The 25,258-nt window shown below is 44.1% G+C and overlaps 1 long non-coding RNA gene across 2 annotated transcripts, besides 2 other annotated features; it reads left to right on the top strand.

Moving 5' to 3' along the window:
- Window positions 4,204-4,896: an enhancer, noted in NCBI's record as "OCT4-NANOG-H3K4me1 hESC enhancer chr1:226708657-226709349 (GRCh37/hg19 assembly coordinates)". NCBI's record gives its function as "activates a minimal SCP1, AML or CMV promoter by ChIP-STARR-seq in naive H9 embryonic stem cells {active_cell/tissue: H9 hESC(naive)}" and the evidence as "EXISTENCE:reporter gene assay evidence [ECO:0000049][PMID:30033119]".
- Window positions 4,897-5,591: an enhancer, noted in NCBI's record as "OCT4-NANOG-H3K4me1 hESC enhancer chr1:226707962-226708656 (GRCh37/hg19 assembly coordinates)". NCBI's record gives its function as "activates a minimal SCP1, AML or CMV promoter by ChIP-STARR-seq in naive and primed H9 embryonic stem cells {active_cell/tissue: H9 hESC(naive and primed)}" and the evidence as "EXISTENCE:reporter gene assay evidence [ECO:0000049][PMID:30033119]".
- On the top strand, window positions 5,052-9,708 carry LOC105373115 (uncharacterized). 2 transcript variants are annotated; one of them, XR_949220.2, is made up of 4 exons: window positions 7,759-7,850; window positions 8,309-8,372; window positions 8,761-8,991; window positions 9,379-9,708. It is a non-coding gene; the product is annotated as an uncharacterized LOC105373115 (long non-coding RNA). The 2 variants fall into 2 exon arrangements; XR_949221.2 differs by lacking the exons at window positions 7,759-7,850; window positions 8,309-8,372 and adding an exon at window positions 5,052-5,739.
- Window positions 9,709-25,258: the final 15,550 nt, after the last annotated feature.

The following is a 25,258-nucleotide window of genomic DNA, read 5'->3' as shown; positions in this document are numbered from 1 at the left end:
GGTAAACAGTGATAGAGAATTGAAAACTACTGATAGAGTTTTTCTAGGAGCACATTTCTAGGATAATACGGCCAAAATTTTTCATCTCAGATCAGCCATTTACAAAGAGTATAGACAACCTGCCTAAGCCAAGAGATAGCAAACATCTTTACTGGAGATACCGGGAGCTCGGCCACTTAGAATTAAATCAGAAGGAGTCAGTCGGAGATGGGAAGGAGTTAGGAGCCTTTGGCTTGAGCAAGTCAGAGAGCCCCGTTTGAATGACAAATTATATGGAACAGCTTGGCTTTCCTCACAAAATAAAATTATGCTTCAGTTCAAATTTCTTGCCACTTATAAATTACTTTTTATTTTATTGCCCTACAGACCACGTCCAGATCCGTTTGGACGCTATGCTGTTTTTTATATTCCATTCTCCAAAGCTGTGAAGGTACAAATCATGGGCCATCCCAGGTGGTTTGGGGAAGAGATGTTTTTTCTTTCAAAAACAAGGTTTGGGTACATATTTGTGGTAATGACATAGAAATGAAAACATAGCAAGATCAATTGGAGTTTATAATAGCATTCTGCACAGGGAGAAATAGTGTGACATGCTCCTGGATGAGGCTGCCCCAGCCTTCTCCCAGCATTCACTCCATAAGCCTTTATTGAGCACCTACAGTCCCTGCCTTCCAGGCACTCATGTTCAAGGGAGGAGACTGACAGGTGGAGCAGCAGGAGCAATACAGTGTGATAAGGAGGAAGTCTGGGACAAGGAAAGTACCTACAAGAGGCCTGTCTCCTAAAAGAAGCTCTATCTAGGCTGAGAGCAAAAGGGTCAATAGAGCAAGTTGAACAAAGAGAAGGGACATTCATTGATTGCAGAGATTACTAGCTTCTACCCAATATCTATCTATCTCTTTTTCCTGATGATTAGAACATCATTTTATCCTGCTAGGCAATATTTCTAGCTAAAGGGCTACATTTCCCAGACTCCCTTGTAGCTAGCAATGAATAATGGGATATAAATACAAGTTTACAGGGTTTCTTGGAAGGAGTTCTGACTCAACTAGGAGACACAACCAAGTTCCTCTATTTTTCTGCCTGGAATGTGGACTTGATGGCTGGAGTGCCAGCAGCTATTTTGTGTCATAAAGCAAACTTGAGATAGAAACCAACTATAAAGTATGGTAGAGCAGAAAGTTAAGAAGAGCTTGCATCCTGACAACTGTGAAGCTGCTATATCAGCCCTGGAGAGCCACCCTTCTGGCTTCTTTCACATGCCAAATAAATAAATGTCAGATTTAAACTACTTGTTTGTTTTGTTGTTGTTGTAATTTGCAGCTGAACCTAATCCTAACTGATATACCTGCATGTGCCAAGGCCCAGAGGTAAGAGAGCACATGACATATTCCTCAGTCTGCAAATGGTTCCGAGTGGATGGAGCTCAATAAACTGTGTGACAGAGGAGGGGGTGGTGAGTGGGACAAGAAAGGGAAGCAGAGGTGAGCCTGGAGTTCTTGGGCAATGGGGCATAGAGGGAAATCATAATTGCTAGCATTTATGAAGGGCTTTAAACAGCAGATTCTTCTCTCCCTATCCTCCACATCTGGAGAAAGGACAGCCTCCTGTTCCCCAGAGACCTAGGACTAGGGAACAAAATGTCCTAAGTTAAAGGGTGTGTCTCAAAATTGGGGACATGGCCACAGACAACTGTCCTTGGATATGAGAACTGCCTCATGACTTCGCTTAAACTAAATTAAACCTTCTCTGGGTCCCATTTTCCAGCGTGATATCAAAGTCAGCTTCCCTCTCCCAAGGGCTGTGCAAGATTAGAGAGCTGAACTTGTAGAAAACCAGGAAAGGCCTCCAGCCTTCCATCATGGAATTGTTTCTAAGTTGCCTGTTGCCAAGACTGGGATGGTCCACGGGCAGCCCAGATAACCGTGAGAATAGGGATCCCCTTGAGGAGCCCAGGTCCACAGCTCGCTGAGAGTAGCCTCCTCCTGCATCCGCAGGCCACCCCAGCAGAGGTCTGGCGGCTCCCAGATTCCACAAGGAAACATGGCTTGTTCCCTGCCACCCTTGGAAACTCCCAAACCTAACCCTTCACCTTTGCTGGGGAAACCCCTCTTTGCCCCCCTTTTGGGTGGGAGCCTTGTCATTTTCCCCAGTCGAAAGGAATCCAGCTCAATCCTCCTGGGTAAGCCTGAAACACAGAAGAGATTTGCCTCCCACCTTTCCACACTTTCTCCCTGCCCTGGGGAAAGGGATAATGTAAGGAACTTTAAAAAATACTCGTCATCCAACCATCCAACCATCACTGGCAGCAGAGCCCCTGAAAATCATATAGCCTGGAGCAGCTTGTCACAGAAGATAGAGAGGAAACAGTCAAAGACAAATTTGATTTGATAGAGTCGTAAAATGGTCTCAGGAGCCAGGGTGAAGAGGCTCCCGCTGGCCAGAGATGTGAAAATGTGAGTACCAATAAGGACAGTAACAGCAGTGTATTGAAATAGGTCAAATATATATAAATCCATGAGTCTATAATGATACTTTTTTTAAAAGAACCTAACTGGCTATCAGTTGAGGCTATCAATTCATACTAATGAATTAATTCATTGTTTTGATAACTAACATATATAGAAGTAAAAGATCAAGCAAGAGATAAAGACAAAAAGAAACTACTCTGGCCCATGTAAATATATCTCAAGATGTTAAAAAAAAATTAGAAGAGTTCAGCCTGTAATGACTGTAGCAGGAAAAGCAGTGCTTTTTAATGATGCACAAGGGAATGAGAAGTCCTTGCTCTGAGCCTTGGTGGTCCACGGGAGGGTCTACGTGGGCTTGAGCCAGCAGGGTTTCCTAGGACACGGTTCTCCAGAGAAAATGCCCTGGTGAAAACCACAGGCAGAAAAGAATGGGATGAGCCTGGGATGGAATAGCAACAAGAATATCCCAGAAATCATTTTTTTTTTTTTTTGAGACAGAGTCTAGCTCTGTCACCCAGGCTGGAGTGCAGTGGCATGATCTCAGCTCACTGCAACCTCCGCCACCCAGGTCCAAGCAATTCTCCTGCCTCAGCCTCCCAAGTAGCTGGGATTATAGACATGAACCATCACGCCCAGCTAATTTTTGTATTTTTAGTAGAAATAGTGTTTCACCATGTTGGCCAGGCTGGTCTCAAACCCCTGACATCAGGTGATCTACCTGCCTTGGCCTCCCAAAGTGCTGGGATGACAGATGTGAGCCACCGTGCCTGGCCCCACAAAGCATTTGGGCACTTTCCCAGCATTCAGTGAACTATGTGACACAGTGTTCCGTGATGAAAACAAGATGCCACCCCCATGGGAAGGATGAGAACTGAGTCAAGTGATTGAGTTTGGCAGTTTGTAGACTTCAAATCTCCTTCAAAGGACTCAGTTCAGGGCAGTTGTGGGTTGTCCACCAAATCGCAGTCTTAAGGAGTGAAAGGTGGAGCTAGACTGCTGGGAGGGAGAGCCAGGACAGAAAGGTGGGAGAAGGAAAGTTAGCTTGAGGAGGAAGCAGAGGCAAAGAGCTTGTTATGGAAATGATAAGGAAAAGGCCTAGTAGATGAGTCCCAGAAGGCAAGAGAAAGAGGCATGGCTGAGCTGGGCTGGGTGCAGGGAGCACCTGGAGAACAGACCCAGAGATCTCCGCTCCATAATGTGGGGGCAAGCATGCCACATAGCAGCCTGGTCTGCCACTTTCTCTCCCTACTCCCATCTCTATTCAGGGATGGACTAGGGCAGGGTTCAAAGGCCCAGGAGAAAGTCAAGGAGGCTCCCAGGACCTTGCTCCAGAGAAACCAAGAGGCCATCAGGCAGAGCGACGGGGTCTGGGTCACCAGGAACCAGGTGAAGACAAGTAAGGAGGATGGGGAGGAGATATGGAGGAGGATGAGGAGGGAGATGAGGAGGAAGGGGGTGGAGAGACAGAGGAGGAGAGAGGGAAGTGAAGAGGGGGTATGAAGAGAAGGTGGTAGGAGCTGGCAGACACAGAAACGCAGTGTATTTAAGACCTGCTATTTTTGTTTTCCTTTTTTCTTTCCCTTTCTTTTTTTTTTTTTTTTTTTTTTGAGACAGGGTCTCGCTCTGTTGCCCAGGCTGCAGTGTGGTGGCACGATCTCGGCTCACTGCAACCTCCTCCTCCCGGGTTCAAGCGATTCTCCTGCCTCAACCTCCCAAGTACCTGGGACTACAGGTGCATGCCACCACACCCAGCTAATTTTTGTATTTTTAGTAGAGACAGGGTTTCACCATGTTGGCCAGGCTGCTCTCGAACTCCTGACTTCAGGTGATCTGCCCCCTTCAGCCTCCCAAAGTGCTAGGATTACAGGCGTGAGCCACCACACCTGGCCAGGACCTGCTAACATTGAGTGTGGCCCTTTCATTGTGCAGATGAGGAAACTGAGACCCAGAAGAGCAAGTTCTTGGTCATAAAGCCCAGTGATATCGCAGAGGGGCAGGAGAGTGGTGAGAAACACACAAAAATTGTCTTCACACAACTCCCTCAAACCCCCACTCCCAGAAGAAAGAGGCGGAATTATTCCCAGTCCACCCAGGTCAAGTGACTTTGGATGGTGGCACCTGTGGGTGGGCTGAGGAGTCCAGGGTGTGTGGGTGCAGCTCAGTCCTTCAGGGTTAGTCTGTCCTGCCCCGCTTTCCCAAGCTCTCAACTCTGCAGGAAGTTCATGGCTCCACTGCTGCTCGGGGTGTGTGAATCGGGAGAGAAAAGACTTGGAAACCCATGTACACCTGCCCGATGCAGAAAGGACGAGGGTGCCCTTCTTCTACACACAGGTGGGACTTGGGCCTGGCCTCAGGAGGCACAGCTGCCCCTACCCAGGCCTTGGCCACAGTTGCCATGGAAACCGCACTGTAAAGGACTGAATGACCTCAGATTTTGCGTTTCATCTCCCAACATAGGATTTTAGAATGCAGAGAGCAGTTACTGGTCTTCTCTTATTTCAATGCCAGCTGAGCAGCATAGAGGTCCCTGGAGGCCCTTTGAGCTCCTCCTAGCTCACAGGAACAAGTGTGTGGGTCATCTCCCTGAGCCAGCCTCCGCTATGAGCCTTTGCCTTGACCCCTTGATCTATTCTTATTCACTTGGCAACAGTGATTAAGCCACAGGAGGTTGCAGGTGCTGGATCAGGCAACAGGGAAAGGAAGATGAATAGGAGACAGATCCTGACCCAAAGAAGGATGCAGTCGAGTTGGGGAAACAAATACATAAATAAATCATTATAAACCCATGTGGCAAGTACATGGGGCACCCAACGCACAGCAATTTGCTCACTAAAGTAGGTGACAGAGGGGGCAACATTGGGGCGAAGAGCTTGAAGAAAATGGTGACGGTGTGGACGGTTATTAAGGGGAATCATTCAGAGGACCAGGTCAAGTGGTTGCTGAGTGACACCAAATGCCCCGCTGAGGCTGGGCCCCAGGCCAATCTACAGGCCACTTGATTTTTCTCCAGCAGGGCTCAGCTATGAAGGCATATTGTGGGACTGTGGTCAGAAAGTGAAGCATTGGAAGTGAAGATTTCAGAAGAGGAGCTGCTCTGGGAACAAACACAGGGTCCAGCATGTGCCCTGGGAATGGACAGCAGACCAGGAGCCAAGGCAGGAGTCACAGGAATTACAGAGGCACAGGGACTCCCCCTGTGGTAGGACAGCGGTTCCTGCAGACACTGCTGTCCTGGGACTGAAGTGGTTACGGCAGGAGTGGAAAGAAGGTAAGCCACGTTCCAGCCTCTGAGGAATGGATTCCCTTCTCTCAGTCCAGGTCTCCTCATAATGCAGCAGATGATAATACCCAGGACACACTGTGTCCCCTTCCTTCCTCCCGCACTGTCCCTGGCTTACCTCTCAAGATCACTCCAGAGAGAGTCAAGCATTGCATGGGACGCACGTACACCTGGCTTGGGAGTCTTGCCAGCTCAGGGATAAATTTGGACATTGAGCCGTGATTGAATGCTGGTTCTAGTAAGAATTCAGTGTGTGTTATTGCATTAAATAAAATAATGAGAGCTCTTAAAGCAAATCGTAAGGCAGAAAGGCACACTGTGAAGGGGTTGAGTTGAAAGACTTTGCCCTTCCCTTCTCCTTGGGTGAACATGGCAAAGTGCTGTCTCCTTGTGCACAGCTGTCAGCCTTTTCAGATGCTGAGCAGGCATCTAGTCAAGCCATTTCCTGCCAGGACAAATGACAAGCACCCCAAAAGGAGAACTTAGGGGAGCTCCAAGGCTCCTCTTTATAGAGAGCTATGTTGAGTCCTTCTCAATATGGCTCTCCCCAACCACATGACTGCAGCTGAAAGAATAGCCTCAACCCAGCCCTCCCTCTGTACCTCGGCCCCTCCCCAGGCAGGCAGAGTCCCAGGAGGATGAAAGCAGGACTAGCTGTGTCCTTGTGTCCTCCTTAGCAGTGGAGAGGCAAGACTGGTGGGATCTGCTTCAGCTTTGGCACCAGGAGACCTGAATTTAATTCTCAGCCCTACTACTTCCTGCTGTGTGACCTTGAGCAACTCACTCAGCCCCTCTGAGCTTCAGTCTCCTTTTCAGTAAGGCAGGCAATGTGGCATTGTTGTTGAGGGCCAGTGTGGCTTTGTGGTTGAGGGCCAAGCACCAGAGTTATTCTTCTGGATCCCAGATTCTGGTTTTGCCACTTCCTAGCTGATAGCCATGTCCTCCCCAGTTCCAAAGCCCAGCCTTGCAGGCACACACCACAACTACATGGCTGAATGACTGTGGTTGCCAGCAGACTCCTCTCTCCACAGCCACTCTGGGCCCATCCTGGACCAACTGGTCACTAGGTGCCTGGGTGCAGTATCTGGTCCCCCCACCGCCCTTTTCCAATGTTCAGTGGAACTGCTCATGGGCCGCACAGCCTTCCTTTTTCTGTCTTTAGCCACTCACAGATTCTGCCTCGATTTTCATCTTCGTTTGGATCTCATCAAGCTCTCCTAAATTCCTCCTCCTGATTCTGATTTTTCTTTCTTTGGTACCATTTAACCACATGCTTTCATGCGATAGAGCAATTTGTATTCATGCCCCTCTCCACACTGGGCTAATTTAACAGCTCTGTAGAAACACAGGAGTGTAGTTTGCTCATCATCGCCTCCTCCAGAATGCCTTCCACAAAGTGAGGTATCTGTAAGGCAACCACCATGATATGGGATCTTTTTCTCCCGCATTTATAATCATCTTAACTGCTTTATTGAGATATAATTTACATAGCATCCAATGGTTTTTAATAAATTTACAGAGTTGTGCAATCATCACCACAATCCAGTTTTAGAACATTTCCATCACCCCAAAAAGATCCCTTGGGCCCATTTGCAGTCGCTCCCCATTCCAAGTCCCAGCCACAGGCAAGTTTTAATCATTTTTACTAAAAAAAACACATAAGCCCTTATTTCCCCCCAAATGTTTTGCTCTTAGAAGTAAAGCTGCATGAACATTCTTGTAGGGAAACCGTAACACGTATCTATGCTCATTTCTCCCAAACTCACTGAAGATTCAGGGAAGGACCGAGTATCTGACCTGAGCCCCACATTCCACAGGTGACAAGTGCATGGATGAGTGCCACCCCTAAGACCACATAGCCCATAGCAGGGCTGGGACTGGAACCCACCTGCTTCCACTCCCAGCAATGGTCATTTCCGTCACTCTGTCCCTCTACTCAGAGATAAATTCATTAACTGACCTTAATTAATTTAATTTGTTTTTTCTAGCCACTGCTTCTCCCTTCTCACAGCCCTTCCTCAGTGGAAGTGCTAACTGGAATTGAGTGGCTCAGAAACAAATGGCAAAGAAGGAGGTGGAAAAGAAAGAGTTATGAAACTGTACGTCAGGCTTGGAATGGTGGCTTATGCCTGGAATCCCAGCATTGTGGGAGGCTGAGGAGGGAGGATCGCTTAAGCCTAGGAGTTTGAGACCAGTTTGGGCACCATAGTAAGACCCCCATCTCAACAAAACTAAAATTAAAAATTAACCTGGTGTGGTGCTGCACACCTATAGTCCCAGCTACGCAGGAGGACGAAGTGGGAGGATTGCTTGGACCCGGGAGTTCAAGGCTGCAGTGAGCTATGATCACACCACTGCATTTCAGCCTGAGTGATAGACTGAGACCTTGTCTCAAAAAAAAAAGTAGGTGGGGATCACAAGTCATTCCCTCAACTTCTCATGCAAGGAAGGAGCAGTCTCCTCGGCTTCTCTGACTCCACAGGGAAGGTGGGGGGATCTCCTAGGGTCCAGGAACTCACTGTTTGAAACTATTCCTGTCTTTCTTTTCTGGGTCCAGTCAGCCCTTTTCCTCTATTGCATCCTCCAGTGCCATGAACACATTCTTCCAGATGCAGTTATTTGTAAGTAGGAGACTCGGGGGCCAGAAAGCTCAGGGGTGGGATGGGAGTGGGAGATTCTAACACCACCATTCACTAGCTGTGTGACCTTGTCCCTTCCTAACCTTTCTGGGCCTTGGTGTACTCATCTGTAAAGTGGAACCAGAATTGCCTACCTCAAAAAATTATTGTGAGAATTCAATAAAATGGTATAGGCAAGATCAGGTTCAAAGTATGCGATCAATAAATGGTAGGGTTTTAATTAACCTCCTTCTTAAATTGTGGTCCCAATAACGACTCCCTGAATACACATATAGGATGCACACAGCACGCACACGATACTACAGAACTCTTTCCTTCTGTCGTGAACCATAGTGTTGGACCACCTCGCATGTTTTCCTATCCCTTTTAGGAAACTTGCCCTACTCCATAGAAGCAGCAAGTCATACGTTTTTAAAAAGAAACTCCGGTGGCAACGCAAGGAATAGATTGTAAATGTGGAAGCTAGGGCCCAGGAAGCTGAGCGAGAGATCATGCAACATTCCAGGCAAACCATGAGAAGGGCCCGATAGGAGGGGCAATGAGGAGAAGCTGCAGAGACCAGACCTGAGAGGTACTGAGGAAGCAGAATCAGTGGAGCATGGTGAGTGATGGTCATGGGAAGGGCACACGCTTACTATTCCTCTCTCTCAAGAATAATACCTGCCTCACGACACTGCTGGGAGGCTGGGTGGCCATTCAACTGAAATATTAACTAAGTGCATGCAATGTACTAGGCTCTGATCCAGATGCCTAGAACAAGACAGAAGCCCTGTCCTCTTACTGCTTATAGTCAAGATAGAGAGTAATGTCTTTGAAGAGACTGACCCATGGTAGGCACTTCATAAAGGGTAGGTGTTGTTATTACCACTAATACTATAATGTTTAAATTATATGTTAGGTGCTTCGGCCACCTAACATCTCTTCTCCTTTCCCATGGTGTGACGTCGTGGTAATACAGTAAATGTCTCCATCTGTGCTTTCACTATAGATGCCGAAGTGATTCCTGGAGACTCTGCCAGCAAGGCTCTTCCTCTAGCCACTGTAGTACCAAAGTAAAGGAGCACCATGCTTGAACATATGGGTGCTCTCTCTCTCTAGGGACTTTAGATCCTGAGCAAGCGACCACATGGGTAGAAGCAACACAGTTAATTCATCCAAGCACGAAGAACCTGACCCAGACTATTTCTACCACAAGATTCTCCCTTCCAGCTTGGCTATCTGTAAGTTTGAGAAGTCAACCTACCAAGTGACTATTGACATCTCCCTCCAGGAGAATTTCAGTCCATTGTTACTGATTGGCAGAGTGCTTTGAGATATAACAGACGTGGTAAATGAACTGAAATGACATCAATTGAAAAAAAATGTTACAATTTCATCTAACTTTTGTCCAGCTTCCATTTCTACTTTTTGTTCTTTCCATTGGAACTCAAGTACACACAACTGGACTGAGTATTGTCCTTGGTTTATGACACACCCTCACTATTGGTCTATAAATGGCTTGTTTTTACTTAGTTATTTTAAATAATATAAGCACCTGTGAATGCACCAGATCCAAACAAAAACGAGGATCCTGACAATAACCTTGACATATGGTCCCGCCCCATCACATCCTCTTGACTCCACCTGACCAAGATAATCATTCTTAATCCTCTGTCCATCAGCTCTGTGCCCTCCTTTCAAAATAAGTTCTATTGCGTCTATGTGTGCTTCTAAAAGATGTGTTTTCATAAAACTTGAGTTACTTTAGAAATTATAAAAAGGAAATGAGGCCAGGCTTGGTGGCTCATGCCTGTAATCTCAGCACTTTGGGAGGCTGAGGTGGGTGGAGGGCTTGAGCCCAGGAGTTTTAGACCAGCCTCGGTAACATGGCAAAATCCCGTCTCCACAAAAAATACAAAAAAAAAAACAAATGCCAGACATGGTGTAGTGCCTGTAGTCCCAGCTACTCAGGAGACTGAGTTAAGAGGACCACAAGAGCCCAGGAAAGTTGAGGCTGCAGTGAGCCATGATCATGCCATTGCACTCCAGCCTGGGCAACAGAGTGAGACCCCCCACCCCAAAAAAAGGATATGATATTGTATGTAAGTTTTTCAGACTTACTTTTTTCCAGCAAGTATTATTGTTAAAGTTATTCATATTATTGTTTATGGTTGAGTTCATTTATTTTTATTGCTGGATAATATTTCGCTGTGTAAATAGACCACAATTATCCATTCACTTTTCCATTAATGGACATTGAGTTATTTTCAGGTTTTGCTAATGTGAAAAATGCTGCTAGGAGTGTTTTTATTCAAATCTCCTGTTTTATGTGCATGAGAGTTTCTTTTGAATATAAACCTAATGGTGGAATTGCTGGGTAATAGGGTATGTGGATGTCCAATTTTAGGGGAGAAGGCCAAGCCATTTTCCAATGTGTTTCACAAACATACATCCCTATGAGTATAAGAGGGTTTTTTTAGTTTTTTTTTTTTAGACAGAGTCTTACTCTGTCGCCCAGGCAATGGTGCCATCTTGGCTCACTGCAATCTCCGCCTCCCGGGTTCAAGCGATTCTCCTGCCTCAGCCTCCCGAGTAGCTGGGATTACAGGCACACACCACCACACCCAGCTAATTTTTGTATTTTTAGCAGAGACAGGGTTTTACCATGTTGGCCAGGATGGTCTCGAACTCCTGACCTCGTGATCCTCCCACCTCGGCCTCCCAAAGTGCTGGGATTACAGATGTGAGCCACCACACCCAGCCAAGAGGTTCTGTGGCTCTATAATCTTGTTAAAGCTTCACGTTGTCAGATTTTTAATTGCCAATTAACAGAGGTAAAAACAAATTTTAGAGATTATAATGTGTTTCTCTGATCATTAAACACGTTGAAAATCTTCTCTTGTGTTTATCGGCCATACATGTTTCTCTCTCTCTTTTTTTTTTTTTTTTTTTTTTTTGAGACAGAGTTTTGCTCTCGTTGCCCAGGCTAAAGTGCAGTGGCATGATCTCGGCTCACTGCAACCTCCACCTCCCGATTTCAAGCAATTCTTCTGCCTCAGCCTCCCAAGTAGCTGGGATTACAGGCATGCACCACCACACCTGGCTAATTTTGTATTTGTAGTAGAGACAGGGTTACACATCTTGGTCAGGCTGGTCTTTAACTCCTGACCTCCAGTGATCCACCCGCTTCAGCCTCCCAAAGTGCTGGGATTACAGGCGTGAGCCACCATGCCTGGCCCATTTATGTCTTTTGATCATTTTTCCATAGGGTTGTTATTTTTTTATTGGTTTGTGGAATTTTTTTATGTATTCTTGACACTGATCTATTGTTGTTGACTATCTCTTCTCAGTTTGTAATTAGTTTCTTTACTTTTGCTTTCCCTAAGGTAGCTTTTGAAGAACACATGTTCTTAAGTTTATTACAGTCAAATGTATTTATCTCTTACATTATTGTCATTTTTTTGTCTCTTGTTTAAGCAACCTTTCGCTGTTCAGTCTTAAACATATCTGGATGGATAGATAGATAGATAGACAGATGATAGATAGACAGACAGATAGATATAAAGAGATAGATATAGATATAGTTTGGTGTTTTTTTTGTTTTTTGTTTTTTGATTTGGAGTCTCGCTCTTGTCACCCACGCTGGAGTGCAATGGCATGATCTTGGCTCACTGCAACCTCTGCCTCCCAGGCTCAAGCGATTCTCCTGCCTCAGCCTCCCAAGTAGCTGGGATTACAGGCATGAGCCACCACACCCAGCTAGTTTTTGTATAATTAGTAGAGATGGTGTTTCACCATGTTGGCCAGGCTGGTCTCATGCCTGTAATCCCAGCATTTTGGAAGGCCAAGGCAGGCAGACCACTTGAGGTCAGGAGTTCAAGACCAGCCTGGCCAACATGGCAAAACCCGTCTCTACTAATAATACAAAAATTAGCCCAGCATGGTGGTGTGCGCCTATAGTCCCAGCTACTCAGGAGGCTGAGGCAGGAGAATCGCTGGAACCCAGGAGGCGGAGGTTGCAGTGAGCCTAGATCATGCCACTGCATTCCAGCCTGGGTGACAGAAAAAGATTCCAAAAAAAAAAAAAAAGATAGTGTATTATTTTTAATGCATGTTGGTATTTTAATTGCTAATATTTTATTTAGTGTTTTTGCATCAATATTTATGAGTAAAATAGGCCTAAAATTTTTTTCTCATAAATCCATTGTCTGGTTATGGTATCGATTTTGGGAATGGAAGATGCTGTAATCCAGTTTTAATATGTTATCTTTGCAGAGAAATCCCTGAGAGCTCATTTTTAAAAAACAACCAATAGCACCTAGTAAAGACTGCTTTTTACCTCGATATTTTAAAATTAATAATTTTTGTAGCATTTCTTATAGGTTGACATATTCACCAGAAGGTAGATGTTAAAATCTGTCTTGTTCATTTTATAAAGATCTGAGTAAGTTTGCCCAGCTCCAATCCTCCAGCACCTTTCCTGTTCACCGTAATTCCTCAGAGTTGACCAACAATGGTGCTTCTAACACATCTGCACATCTCTGACAACACCTGATAACCTGGGAAGTGGCTCCTAAGAAACCCAAGAGCTGGCTGGTGTCTGATGCATGGATTTGTGCACAGCATGTGGGGCTCCGAGCTTCTCAGAAAAAAATAATTGTACATCAAAGGCATCACTAGTTATGAGTTCCTGGGTGAAGCAGCTATTGTTATCATTTAAACAGAACTTTCTAGCTTTGCTTCTGGGCAGGCGACCTAATGTGAGAGCATTTGGAGGCCAGGAAGCACCAGTTAGGAACCAGGCATCATTGTCATTTTCTGCAGGAGTGCCCTGTGGCTAGCTTTCCCACTGCAGCAGAGCCTTGCCTCCATCAGTGTGCTCTGCTCATGCCCCCAGCCCCACTCTCCCCTGGTGAGTAGTGAGCTCCAGAACCCTTCAGGGCAGAGAGAAGTCCAGCTGTGGAGTTTAGAAGCTGAAAAACACCTCCGCCCAGTGCCCTCCCAGCACAGCATCCTGGCTTCACAGGCCTAAGCCAGACAGGCTGCCTAATCACCAGATAGGGACCCTCCTGGCTCCATCATGGAAAGACAGTTAGGTCCCTTTTGCTGGCAAAGCCAAATCAGGCAATCCTTTGAATTAAACACAGTGACTCTCTACAAGACCCAAGGAATTTCTGAGGCCTGAGTCAGAGGGATCATAAGATAAGGTGGCTGGTTACCTAAAGAGAAAGCGTTAGTGCTTTTTTTCTCCTGCCTCTTCTTGTCCTACCTGTGATGATTAATTTTATGTGTCAACTTGACTGGGCCACAGAGTGCCCAGATACTTGGTTAAACATTATTCTGAATGTGTCTGTGAGGATGTTTCTGATTATCATTTGAATTGGTGGACTGAGTAACACAGATGCCCTCCCAACGTGGATGAGCTTGATCCAGTCCAGTTAAGGCCTGAATAGAACCATAAAGGTGAGCAAGGGAGAGTTTGCTCTCTGTCTGACTATCTTCAAGCTGGGACATCAATCTTTTCCTGCCTTTGGACTTGGACTCAGACTGGAACTATAGCACCATCTCTCCTTGGTCACCAGATTGCCACCTGCAGATCTTGGAGCTTCTCAGCTTCTATAATCATATAGGCCAGTTTCTTAATACACACACACACACACACACACACACACGCACACACACATGCACACACACACACATTCTATTGGTTCTCTTTCTCATGAGAACCCTAATACATCCCCTTACCCTCCTTCCCTACTAGAAGGAAGGAAGAAAGAAAGGAAAGACAGAAGGGAGGGAAGAAGAAAGGCAAGGAGAGAGAAGAGAGAGAGGGAGTGGGAGGGAGCCACACATCTTTCAATTTCCTTGAAAATAGGAAATGGATTCAGTAATTGACCAGGTTAACATGAGGAAACGGGGGCAGCCCTGAGAGCCAGGCAAACTGAGCATGTGGGTTGAAGCCAGTAACAGTCAGCAGCTAACTGGGAGCACTCCACCCCAGAGATGGGAGCTGCACCAAGCCGCTGCCAAGCCATGGGCCCCATACACACATCCCAGGGATGGCTGAATGCACAGTCCCCATGGTTGTTTCGTGTTTGATGAGCTGGATGAGTTTTTTCTATGGAAGTTTTTTTTATGGGCCCTGGTTTCCTGGATAGACCCTGGCTGATTGATGCTCTGTCCTGTTACCCCAACCACCCTACGCCCTTGGATTTTATTTTGCCCCTGAGGATCTCTCTTTACTTTCTGGGTGCTGTTTTGTGTTCTCTTTGACCTGACTTCATCAGAACAAAAACAAAGGGTGGGAAAGAGAATGATCCAGCATATCCCTAAACATTTCTATAATGTTTCTCTTTTCCATGATAAAAGTAATAAATACTTAGAGAAAGCATAGAAAAGTATAGAAAAGTTTTTAAAAGAAAGAAATTACCCATAGTTTCACTACTCAGCGACAACTGATGTTAATATTTTGGCAAACACCTATGCCCTCACTTAACATATTTTAATTTTTCCCAATTTAGGAAGATAGGGTAAAAAGCTGTTAAACAAAGCATTCTTGGTAAAAACAACTGTCCTTCTGATCCTCCAGCAAAGTCTCCTCTAAAAATTATTCTCCTGAACTATTGTAATGTTGGGGAGTCAGTTCTCACTCTCTCTTCCTATGCTTTTAAAATCAGTTCTTAATTTGTTGTTTGAATTCTTATCCATCACATAACATGCTGCTGCAGTCAAATGGTGGCTGGTCTGAACCATCCAAGATGACTCACTTGTATGTCTGGTGCCTTGGCAGGCATGGCTGAGAGGCTAGGACCGCTCTGTCTCCATATGGCTTGGGCTTTATTTTTTGGCAAATGAATCCTGAATCTCAAGGGTGAGCATAACAAGGAGGAAACAAAAGCTGCCAGTCCTCTTAGGCCTAGAACTGGCAAAGCACTGTTTCTGTTGCATTCTAGTGGTTAAAACAGTTGGGACCCACCCAGTTTAAGGGGAGGAGAAAGAAACTTCATCTCTAGCTCAGTGGCTCATGCCTATAATCCCAGCACTTTGGGAGGCTGAGGCAGGACTACTGCTTTAGGCCAGGAGTTTGAGACCTGGGCAACATAGTGAGACCCCATCTCTACAAAATTTTTTTTTATTAGCTGGGCATGGTGCCAGGCACCTGTAGTTCCAGCTACTCTGGAGGCTGAGGTGGGAATATCACTTGAGGCCAGGAGGTCAAGACTGCAGTGAGCTGTCATTGTGCCACTGCACTCCAAACTGGGTGACAGATGGAGCGTCTGTCAAAAGAAAAGAAAAAAAGAAAAGAAGAAGGGAGGGGAGGGGAGGAGAGGAGAGGGGAGGGAAGGGGAGGGGAGGGGAGGGAAGGGAAAAAGGAAAAGAAAAGAAGGAAGAAACTGCATCTCTAACTGGAAACAATGACAAAAAAATTGTTACCATCATTAACTACAAAATAGGAGGAAAGAATAGGAATATATACAAATTTGCTTACATTTTTAAAAATTGCTGAATGAATAAGCCAAAAACTCATAAAAACGGCCACCTATTAAGAGAGAGAGAACAGGATGGAGAAGATATGAATAGGAGCTAGACTTCTCTGAGTATATCTTGTTAGATAGTTTTGACTTTGAATACAAATTTTTTAAAAATCAAAAAGGCAGAAAAGCAAGTCTTAAAAATTGAAAGTAAGAGGAAAGAAATGTACCTAACTGCCCATGAGGTCAATGGCACAACAACATGAAGAAAATAATCACTTCACACGACTTTAAAATTAAACATTTCGATTACACGGTCCTAGCAGGATATGTTCTATGGACAAAATGAGCCACAAAGAAATCTTACACTGTGTTCAGTAATCTTACTGTTAGCAGCAATATTCACTTAGCTATTTTGAAACTATTATAGTTATATTATAGAATAAGGTAAATAAGTAATTATGTCAAAATTGTTAAAAACCAGGCTTTTCAGCAAAGAAAAAAAATGAAAATGTAAACCCAACCAAGTTGAGTAAAAACCCTGTAATCTTAAATTTGAATTGGAAGCATTGGTACGAACCCATAATTTTTTTCATTTTAAAAAATGTGAGAGTACCTATAGCATAATCAAACATAAAAATCTGTGTGCCCAATGATATTAAAAGCAATACAACGCATTGGTCAATATTTTAGGTTGCTATGGTACCAACTCCTTCTCTGAAAGCTATTGTCTGGTGTCTCACGCCTGTAATCCTAGCATTTTGGGAGGCCAAGGTGAGAGGATTGCTTAAGACCAGGAGTTCAAGACAAACCTGGTCAACATAGTGAGACCCCATCTCAAAAGAAAGAAAGAGGAAAGGAAAGGAAAGGAAAGGAAAGGAAAGGAGGGAAGGAAGCAAGGAAGAGAGAGAGAGAAGGAGAGTGAAAGAAAGAAAGAGAAAGAAAGAAAGAAAGAAAAAAGAAAAAAAAGAGACAGAAAGCAAGCAAGCTAATGCCTGCAAGGAGATAAAATTATTCTTTTTTTTTTTTTTTGAGACAGAGTCTTGCTCTGTCACCCAGGCTTGAGTGCAGTGGCGTGATCTCAGCTCACTGCAACCTCCGCCTCCTGGGTTCATGCCATTCTCCTGCCTCAGCCTCCTGAGTAGCTGGGACTACAGGCGCCCACCACCACGCCCGGCTAATTTTTTGTATTTTTAGTAGAGATGGGGTTTCACTGTGTTAGCCAGGATGGTCTTGATCTCCTGACTTCGTGATCTGCCCACCTCAGCCTCCCAAAGTGCTGGGATTACAGGCGTGAGCCACCACACCCAGCAGAGAAACTTATTCTTTATAGAAAATAATGGTCAGGTAAAAAGTCGGAAGTATGATGGCTCATGCCTGTAATCCTAGCATTTTGGGAGGCTGAGGCAGGAGGATTGCTTGAGGCCAGGAATTTGAGACCAGCCTGGACAACACAGCAAGACACCATCTCTACAAAAAAATCAAAAAATTAGCCAGGTGTAGTGGTATGCACCTGTGGTCCCAGCTACCTGAGAGGCTGAGGCAAGAGGATCTCTTGAGCCCAGGAGTTTGAGGCTGCAGTGAGCTGTGTTTGCACCATTGCACACCAGCCTGCGCAACAGAGAAAAACCTTGTCTTAAAAGAAAAAAAATTTTTAAAGAATTGAAATATCACTACCTTGCAACCACTAAGAAAATAATGAACCAGAGCTGCCAAAACCATCAGGTTGGCAGGACCTGAACCTACCTGATCACAAAAAGAGAGACAAAGCAGACATCCTGTGCCTCATGCAGTAATGCAATAAGAGGTACACAGTACCCCCTATATGGGATTCTTGCCTAAAAATGGAGCCTGAATCCAGCAGCCTACCAAGGAGGGTTTGGGGGAGATACTGATCCACTTGTGTATAGGCAATAGCAGGGTATTTTGTAGAGAATTCTACAGAAATAATGAAACCAATTCAATGTCAGTCTGCTTTTTATCATTGCCATGCACCAGCAGCTCTAGACAATGTCAGTGATAAAATACCCCTTCCCTCCAGGATGTCAGTTTCCAGGGCCTCTCCATCCTTGATACGACTGCCTGGATCTGATCAAGTTTCTTGACGTAAATAACAGCTAAAAAGAAGATACAGAATATGGAAGAACAAGTTAAATGACATCACAAGAAAGCTTTTATCCCAATCCAGAATGTGGAGCATTCTACTGGACAAATCACTCAGGTTCTCTAACAAAGTATAGGCATGAAAAAGAAGACAGCAGGCTACTACAGACTGAAAGAATGGAAGAGTCTTAAGAGACTTAATTAAATGGACCTGTAGGCTTTGACACCTGATTTGGACAAACTGACTGATAAAAGATAATTCCATAAAGACAATTGAATTAGTTTATGCTAGGTGTGATCACAGCTTGGTGGTTTATATATATGTGTGTTTATTATCAATTCAAAATGACCTGAAGATATTTGTGCATTTATAACTGAAATATGAGATATCTAGGATTTGCTTTAAAATGCTCCAGTAAACAAATGAATGAGCAACAAAAATGGATAGAATAGAGAAAACAAGATGGGCTAAAAGTTGATAATTGTTGAAGTTGGGTGATGGATAGATACATGAGGGTTCCTTACTATTCTCCCTTTTTTTTTTTTTTTTTGGTATATGTTTGACATTTTTTCATCACAAAAAGTTAAAAAAGAAAAGTGAATAAAGACAATGTGTGTCAAGTGGTAGCTATCATTGTCATCATTATCATCATCGTCATGATCAGACCCTGGTTAAGGGCTCAGGAGTGAGACAGGTGGCATCCTATTCTCCAAAAGCCAGGTCAGGTGCCAGCCAAGAGGGCCAGGCTCTAGGCCCAGTGGCTGGACACAGACAGAGAAAGGAGGAACAGCTCAGCGGCCAGCCACAGATAGAAGCCCAGCCTAGCAGGTGGATCCCAAGAAGCCGAAGGCAATGTCACTGCAAACAGATGGTAGGTAATCCAGTCACGGGATTGGCATCGGGAGGTAAGGGGGGTTCTGGCAAGAGACAGAGCCTAATGCCAAGCAACACTTGGACATCCTTGGGAAAGAGAAGCTGTCCTCCATTGGCCAAGGATCTCAGCTCTGAGGGGAGAGGGGAGGGTGTGATGGTTAATACTGAGTGTCAGCTTGATTGGATTGAAGGATGCAAAGTATTGATCCTGGGTGTGTCTGTGAGGGTGCTGCCAAAGGAGATTAACATTTGAGTCAGTGGGCTGGGAAAGGGAGACCCATCCTTAATCTGGGTGGGCACCATCTAATCAGCTGCCAGTGTGGCCAGAATATAAAGCAGGCAGAAAAATGTGAAAAGGCTAGACTGGCTTAGCCTTCAAGCCTACATCTTTCTCTCGTGCTGGATGCTTCCTGCCCTCAAATATTGGACTCCAAGTTCTTCAGCTTTGGGACTTGGACTGGCTTCCTTGCTCCTCAGATTGCAGATGGCCTATTGTGGGACCTTGTGATCATGTGAGTTAATACTACTTAATAAACTTCCCTTCATATATATATATATATATATTCCCTTCATATATATATATATATGTTCCCTTCATATATATATATTCCCTTCATATATATAGATATCATATGTGTATGTATATATATATACATGTACACACACATACACTATTAGTTCTGTCCCTCTAGAGAACCCTGACTAATATAGAGGGGAAGGGGGGTTCAAGACAAAACAGGAAGCTGGCAATAGTGAGGAAAGTCCTCCTCCCTAGAACGACTGATATTCAACAGGTCATAAAGATTTCATCACTAAATCAGGTTGCAAGAGGAGCCCTGGGCTCAGGAACAGCAGGAGCAGGCTCCAGACTCTAGATTCAGGTTGGAGGGGCCCCTACTGCACTGGCACCCCAAAGGCTGGGCTATGCTCTGGACATCCCTGAACCCAGGACAGGACCAACTAATTCCAGAGGGCAGGACATGGCAGGAGCCTGTGACGGGGACAGAGCAATATGCAGGGTAAGGGTTAAAGCACTGAAGACTAGCCACTTGCGTGAACTTGCTTATTCACAATATTTTACACGATGTTTTAAATGATTTCCTGTGTCATTGAATATGTATTCGAATAAATTTGTTATATATGGGTCTTAAAGTTCCATTAGTAATCTCTGTTCCCTTAACAATCTGTTTGCATAGCTTCTTGCAACATGATATGCTTGCAGCTTTTTAAAAGTAGAAATGCCTCCAGCCAGGAAAAGAGGCACATGGCTCAGCACCCCACATCTTCTGAGCAGCAAGGCTGGTGGTCTAAGTGTTGGGGACCAGAATGTGTTGCATAAGAAGCTGGTTTGGACGTGCCTCACATGCTGACAATATTGTAAGAGATGAAATAATGTGGGGACTTAATTGCCCAGCTGCAAGATGAGACAGCCTAGGTCACTCTAAATGAAGTGGTTCCCTTTGCCTGTTCAAACTTTGGGGCTACTATGAACCCTAAAGGTGGTGACAGGGAATGCTCACACCAGCCCTCTCCAGTTCTTGGCTTGGGGCAGCTGCCATGTCATGATGGATGGGGAAATGACCCAGTTCCTTCCAGCCCAAAGAAACTAACTAAACCTAAACCTTTTTTCAGACTTCAATTGGAAAATAGAGCTCTATTTTTTTAAAATGCCAAAATATTGTAATACAGACAAGTCATTTATCATCATGAAAGTCATGTTCTTGGCTGGCTAATTTGTCCCTTGTGCGGTTCTCACCGTGGATGTGGACTCACTTGAACACAGTTCTCTCCCAAAGAGATGGCCAGTGTGCCCAAGGCAGCTTTTGCTTCTGCAGCATTTAGCAGAACAGCCAGCAGAGAGGACTCTCAATGTTTGCCGATGATCACGGTATTTCAAAAACGGTGATAAGAGGCCACAATTTGCTTTGTGGTTCAAGCTTGAGTGATTATTAAGGAATGTGTGTTTATCCCAATATGCATCCTTCCATCCTCTTCCAGTATCCCTCTCTCCTTCCTTTCCCTCTGTCTGTATCTATGTGTGGTGGTAGGAGTCAGGAGAGGAAGGATGTCCACCTCACACACCCTTTTTTTCACTGCCCTTACCTTTTCTTCTTTCCTATTCCCACTTCTATCTCCTTAAACTGTAGTAAAAGATACCCCTGCCCAGGCATAGCTGAACAAAAGGCAGCAGAAACTTCTGCAGACTTAAACGCCCCTGCCTGACAGCTTTGAAGAGAGCAGTGGCTCTCCCAGGACGGAGTTTGAGATCTGAGAACAGACAGACTGACTCCTCAAGTGGGTCCCTGACCCCCGAGTAGCCTAACTGGGAGACACCTCCCAGTAGGAGCTAACTGACACCTCCTACAGCCGGGTGCCCCTCTGAGACAAAGCTTTGGGGATCAGGCAGCAACATTTGCTGTTCTGCAATATTTGCTGTTCTGCAGCCTCCGGTGGTGATACTCAGGCAAAAAGAGTCTGGAGTGGACCTCCAGAAAACTCCAACAGACCTGCAGCTAAGGGTCCTGACTGTTAGAAGGAAAACTAACAAACAGAAAGGAATAGCGTCAACATCAACAAAAAGGACATCCACACCAAAACCCCATCTGTAGGTCACCAACATCAAACACCAAAGGTAGATAAAACCACAAAGATGGGGAGAAACCAGAGCAGAAAAGCTGAAATTTCCAAAAAACAGAGCACCTCTTCTCCTCCAAAGGATCGCAGCTCCTCACCAGCAACGGAACAAAGCTGGATGGAGAATGACTTTGATGAGTTGTCAGAAGTAGGCTTCAGAAGATCGGTAATAACAAACTTCTCTGAGCTAAAGGAGGATGTTCAAACCCATCGCAAGGAAGCTAAAAACTTTGAAAAAAGATTAGAAGAATGGCTAACTAGAATAAACAGCGTACAGAAGACCTTAAATGACCAGATGGAACTGAAAACCATGGCAGGAGAACTACGTGAGGCATGCATAAGCTTCAGTAGCCAATTCGATCAACTGGAAGAAAGGGTATCAGTGAGTGGAGATCAAATGAATGAAATGAAGTGAGAAGAGAAGTTTAGAGAAAAAAGAGTAAAAAGAAATGAACAAAGCCTCCAAGAAATCTGGGACTATGTGAAAAGACCAAATCTACATTTGATTGGTGTACCTGAAAGTGACAGGGAGAATAGAACCAAGTTGGAAAACACTCTTCAGGATATTATCCAGGAGAACTTCCCCAACCTAGCAAGGCAGGCCAACATTCAACTTCAGGAAATACAGAGAACACCCAAAGATACTCCTTGAGAAGAGCAACCCCAAGACACATAATTGTCAGATTCACCAAGGTTGAAATGAACGAAAAAATGTTAAGGGCAGCCAGAGAGAAAGGTCGGGTTACCCACAAAGGGAAACCCATCAGACTAACAGCAGATCTCTCAGCAGAAACTCTACAAGCCAGAAGAGAGTGGGGGCCAATATTCAATATTCTTAAAGAAAAGAATTTTCAACCCAGAATTCCATATCCAGCCAAACTAAGCTTCATAAGTGAAGGAGAAATAAAATCCTTTACAGACAAGCAAATGCTGAGAGATTTTGTCACCACCAGGCCTGCCTTACAAGAGCTCCTGAAGGAAGCACTAAACATGGAAAGGAACAACTGGTACCAGCCACTGCAAAAACATGCCAAATTGTAAAGACCATCAATGCTAAGAAGAAACTGCATCAACTAACGAGCAAAATAACCAGCTAACATCATAATGACAGGATTAAATTCACACAAAACAGTATTAACCTTAAATGTAAATGGGCTAAATGCCCCAATTAAAAGACACAGACGGGCAAATTGGATAAAGAGTCAAGACCCATCAGTGTGCTGTATTCAGGAGACCCATCTCATGTGCAGAGACACACATAGGCTCAAAATAAAGGGATGGAGGAAGATCTACCAAGCAAATGGAAAACAAAAAAAAGCAGGGATTGCAATCCTAGTCTCTGATAAAACAGGATTTAAACCAACAAAGATGAAAAGAGACAAAGAAGGCCATTATATAATGGTAAAGGAATCAATTCAACAAGAAGAGCTAACTATCCTAAATATATATGCACCCAATACAGGAGCACCCAGATTCATAAAGCAAGTTCTTAGAGATCTACAAAGAGACTTAGACTCCCACACAATAATAATAGGAGACTTTAACACCCCACTGTCAACATTAGACAGATCAACGAGACAGAAAGTTAACAAGGATATCCAGGACTTGAACTCAGCTCTGCACCAAGCAGACCTAATAGACATCTACAGAACTCTCCACCCTAAATCAACAGAATATACATTCTTCTCAGCACCACATCCCACTTATACCAAAATTGACCACATAGTTGGAAGTAAAGCACTCCTCAGCAAATGTAAAAGAACAGAAATCTTAACAAACTGTCTCTCAGACCGCAGTGCAATCAAATTAGAACTCAGGATTAAGAAACTCACTCAAAACCACACAACTGCATGGAAACTGAAAAACCTGCTCCTGAATGACTACTGGGTAAATAACGAAATGAAGGCAGAAATAAAGATGTTCTTTCAAACCAATGAGAACAAAGACACAACATACCAGAATATCTGGGACTTTTGAAGCAGTGTGTAGAGGGAAATTTATAGCACTAAATGCCCACAAGAGAAAGCAGGAAAGATCTAAAATCGACACCCTAACATCACAATTAAAATAACTAGACAAGCAAGAGCAAACACATTCAAAAGCTAGCAGAAGGCAAGAAATAACTAAGATCAGAGCAGAACTGAAGGAGATAGAGACACAAAAAACCTTCGAAAAATAAATGAATCCAGGAGCTGGTTTTTTGAAAAAATCAACAAAATAGATAGACTGGCTAGCAAGACAAAGAAGAAAAGAGAGAAGAATTAAATAGATGCAATAAAAAATGATAAAGGGGATATCACCACCATTTCCACAGAAATACAAACTACCATCAGAGAATACTAGAAATACCTCTACGCAAATAAACTAGAAAATCTAGAAGAAATGGATAAATTCCTGGACATACACCCTCCCAAGACTAAACCAGGAAGAAGTTGAATCTCTGAATAGACCAGTAACAGGCTCTGAAACTGAGGCAATAAGTAATAGCCTACCAACCAAAAAAAAGTCCAGGACCAGACGGATTCACAGCCAAATTCTACCAGAGGTAAAAAGAGGAGCTGGTACCATTCCTTCTGAAACTATTCCAATCAATAGAAAAAGAGGGAATCCTCCCTAACATATTTTTTGAGGCCAGCATCATCATTTGATATCAGCAACCTGATACCAAAGCCTGGCAGAGACACAACAAAAAAAGAGAATTTTAGACCAATATCCTTGATGAACATCGATGCAGAAATCCTCAATAAAATACTGGCTAACTGAATCCAGCAGCACATCAAAAAGCTTATCCACCACAATCAAGTTGGCTTCATCCCTGGGATGCAAGGCTGGTTCAACATATGCAAATCAATAAACGTAATGCATCATATAAACAGAACCAAAGACAAAAAACACATGATTATCTCAATAGATGCAGAAAAGGCCTTCGACAAAATTCAACAGCTCTTCATGCTAAAATAAGCATAAGCTAGGTATTGATGGGACATATCTCAAAATAATAAGAACTATTTATGACAAACCCACAGCCAATATCATACTAAATGGGCAAAAACTGGAAGCATTCCCTTTGAAAACTGGCACAAGACAGAGATGCCCTCTCTCACCACTCCTATTCAACATAGTGTTGGAATTTCTGGCCAGGGCAATCAGGCAGGAGAAAGAAATAAAGGGTATTCAATTAGGAAAAGAGTAAGTCAAATTGTCCCTGTTTGCAGATGACATGATTGTATATTTAGAAAACTCCATCGTCTCAGCCCAAAATCTCCTTAAACTGATAAGCAACTTCAGCAAAGTCTCAGGATACCAAATCAATGTGTAAAAATAACAAGCATTCCTATACACCAATAACAGACAGAGAGCCAAATCATGAGTGGACTCCCATTCACAATTGCTTCAAAGAGAATAAAATACCTAGGAATCCAACTTGCAAGGGATGTGAAGGACCTCTTCAAGAAGAACTACAAACCACTGCTCAACGAAATAAAAGAGGACACAAACAAATGGAAGAACATTCTATGCTCATGGATAGGAAGAATCAACATCGTGAAAATGGCCATACTGCCCAAGGTAATTTATAGATTCACTGCTATCCCCATCAAGCTACCAATGACTTTCTTCACAGAACTAGAAAAAACTACTTTAAAGTTCATATGGAACCAAAAAAGAGCCCGCATTGCCAAGACAATCCTAAGCCAAAAGAAGAAAGCTGGAGGCATCATGCTACCTGACTTCAAACTATACTACAAGTCTACAGTAACCAAAACAGCATGGTACTGGTACCAACACAGAGATATAGACCAATGGAA

Source organism: Homo sapiens, chromosome 1, assembly GCF_000001405.40.
Source record: "Homo sapiens chromosome 1, GRCh38.p14 Primary Assembly".
NCBI classification, from domain to species: domain Eukaryota; kingdom Metazoa; phylum Chordata; class Mammalia; order Primates; family Hominidae; genus Homo; species Homo sapiens.
Note: the sequence above shows the minus strand (reverse complement) of the source record. Positions and strands in the feature narration are given on the sequence as shown.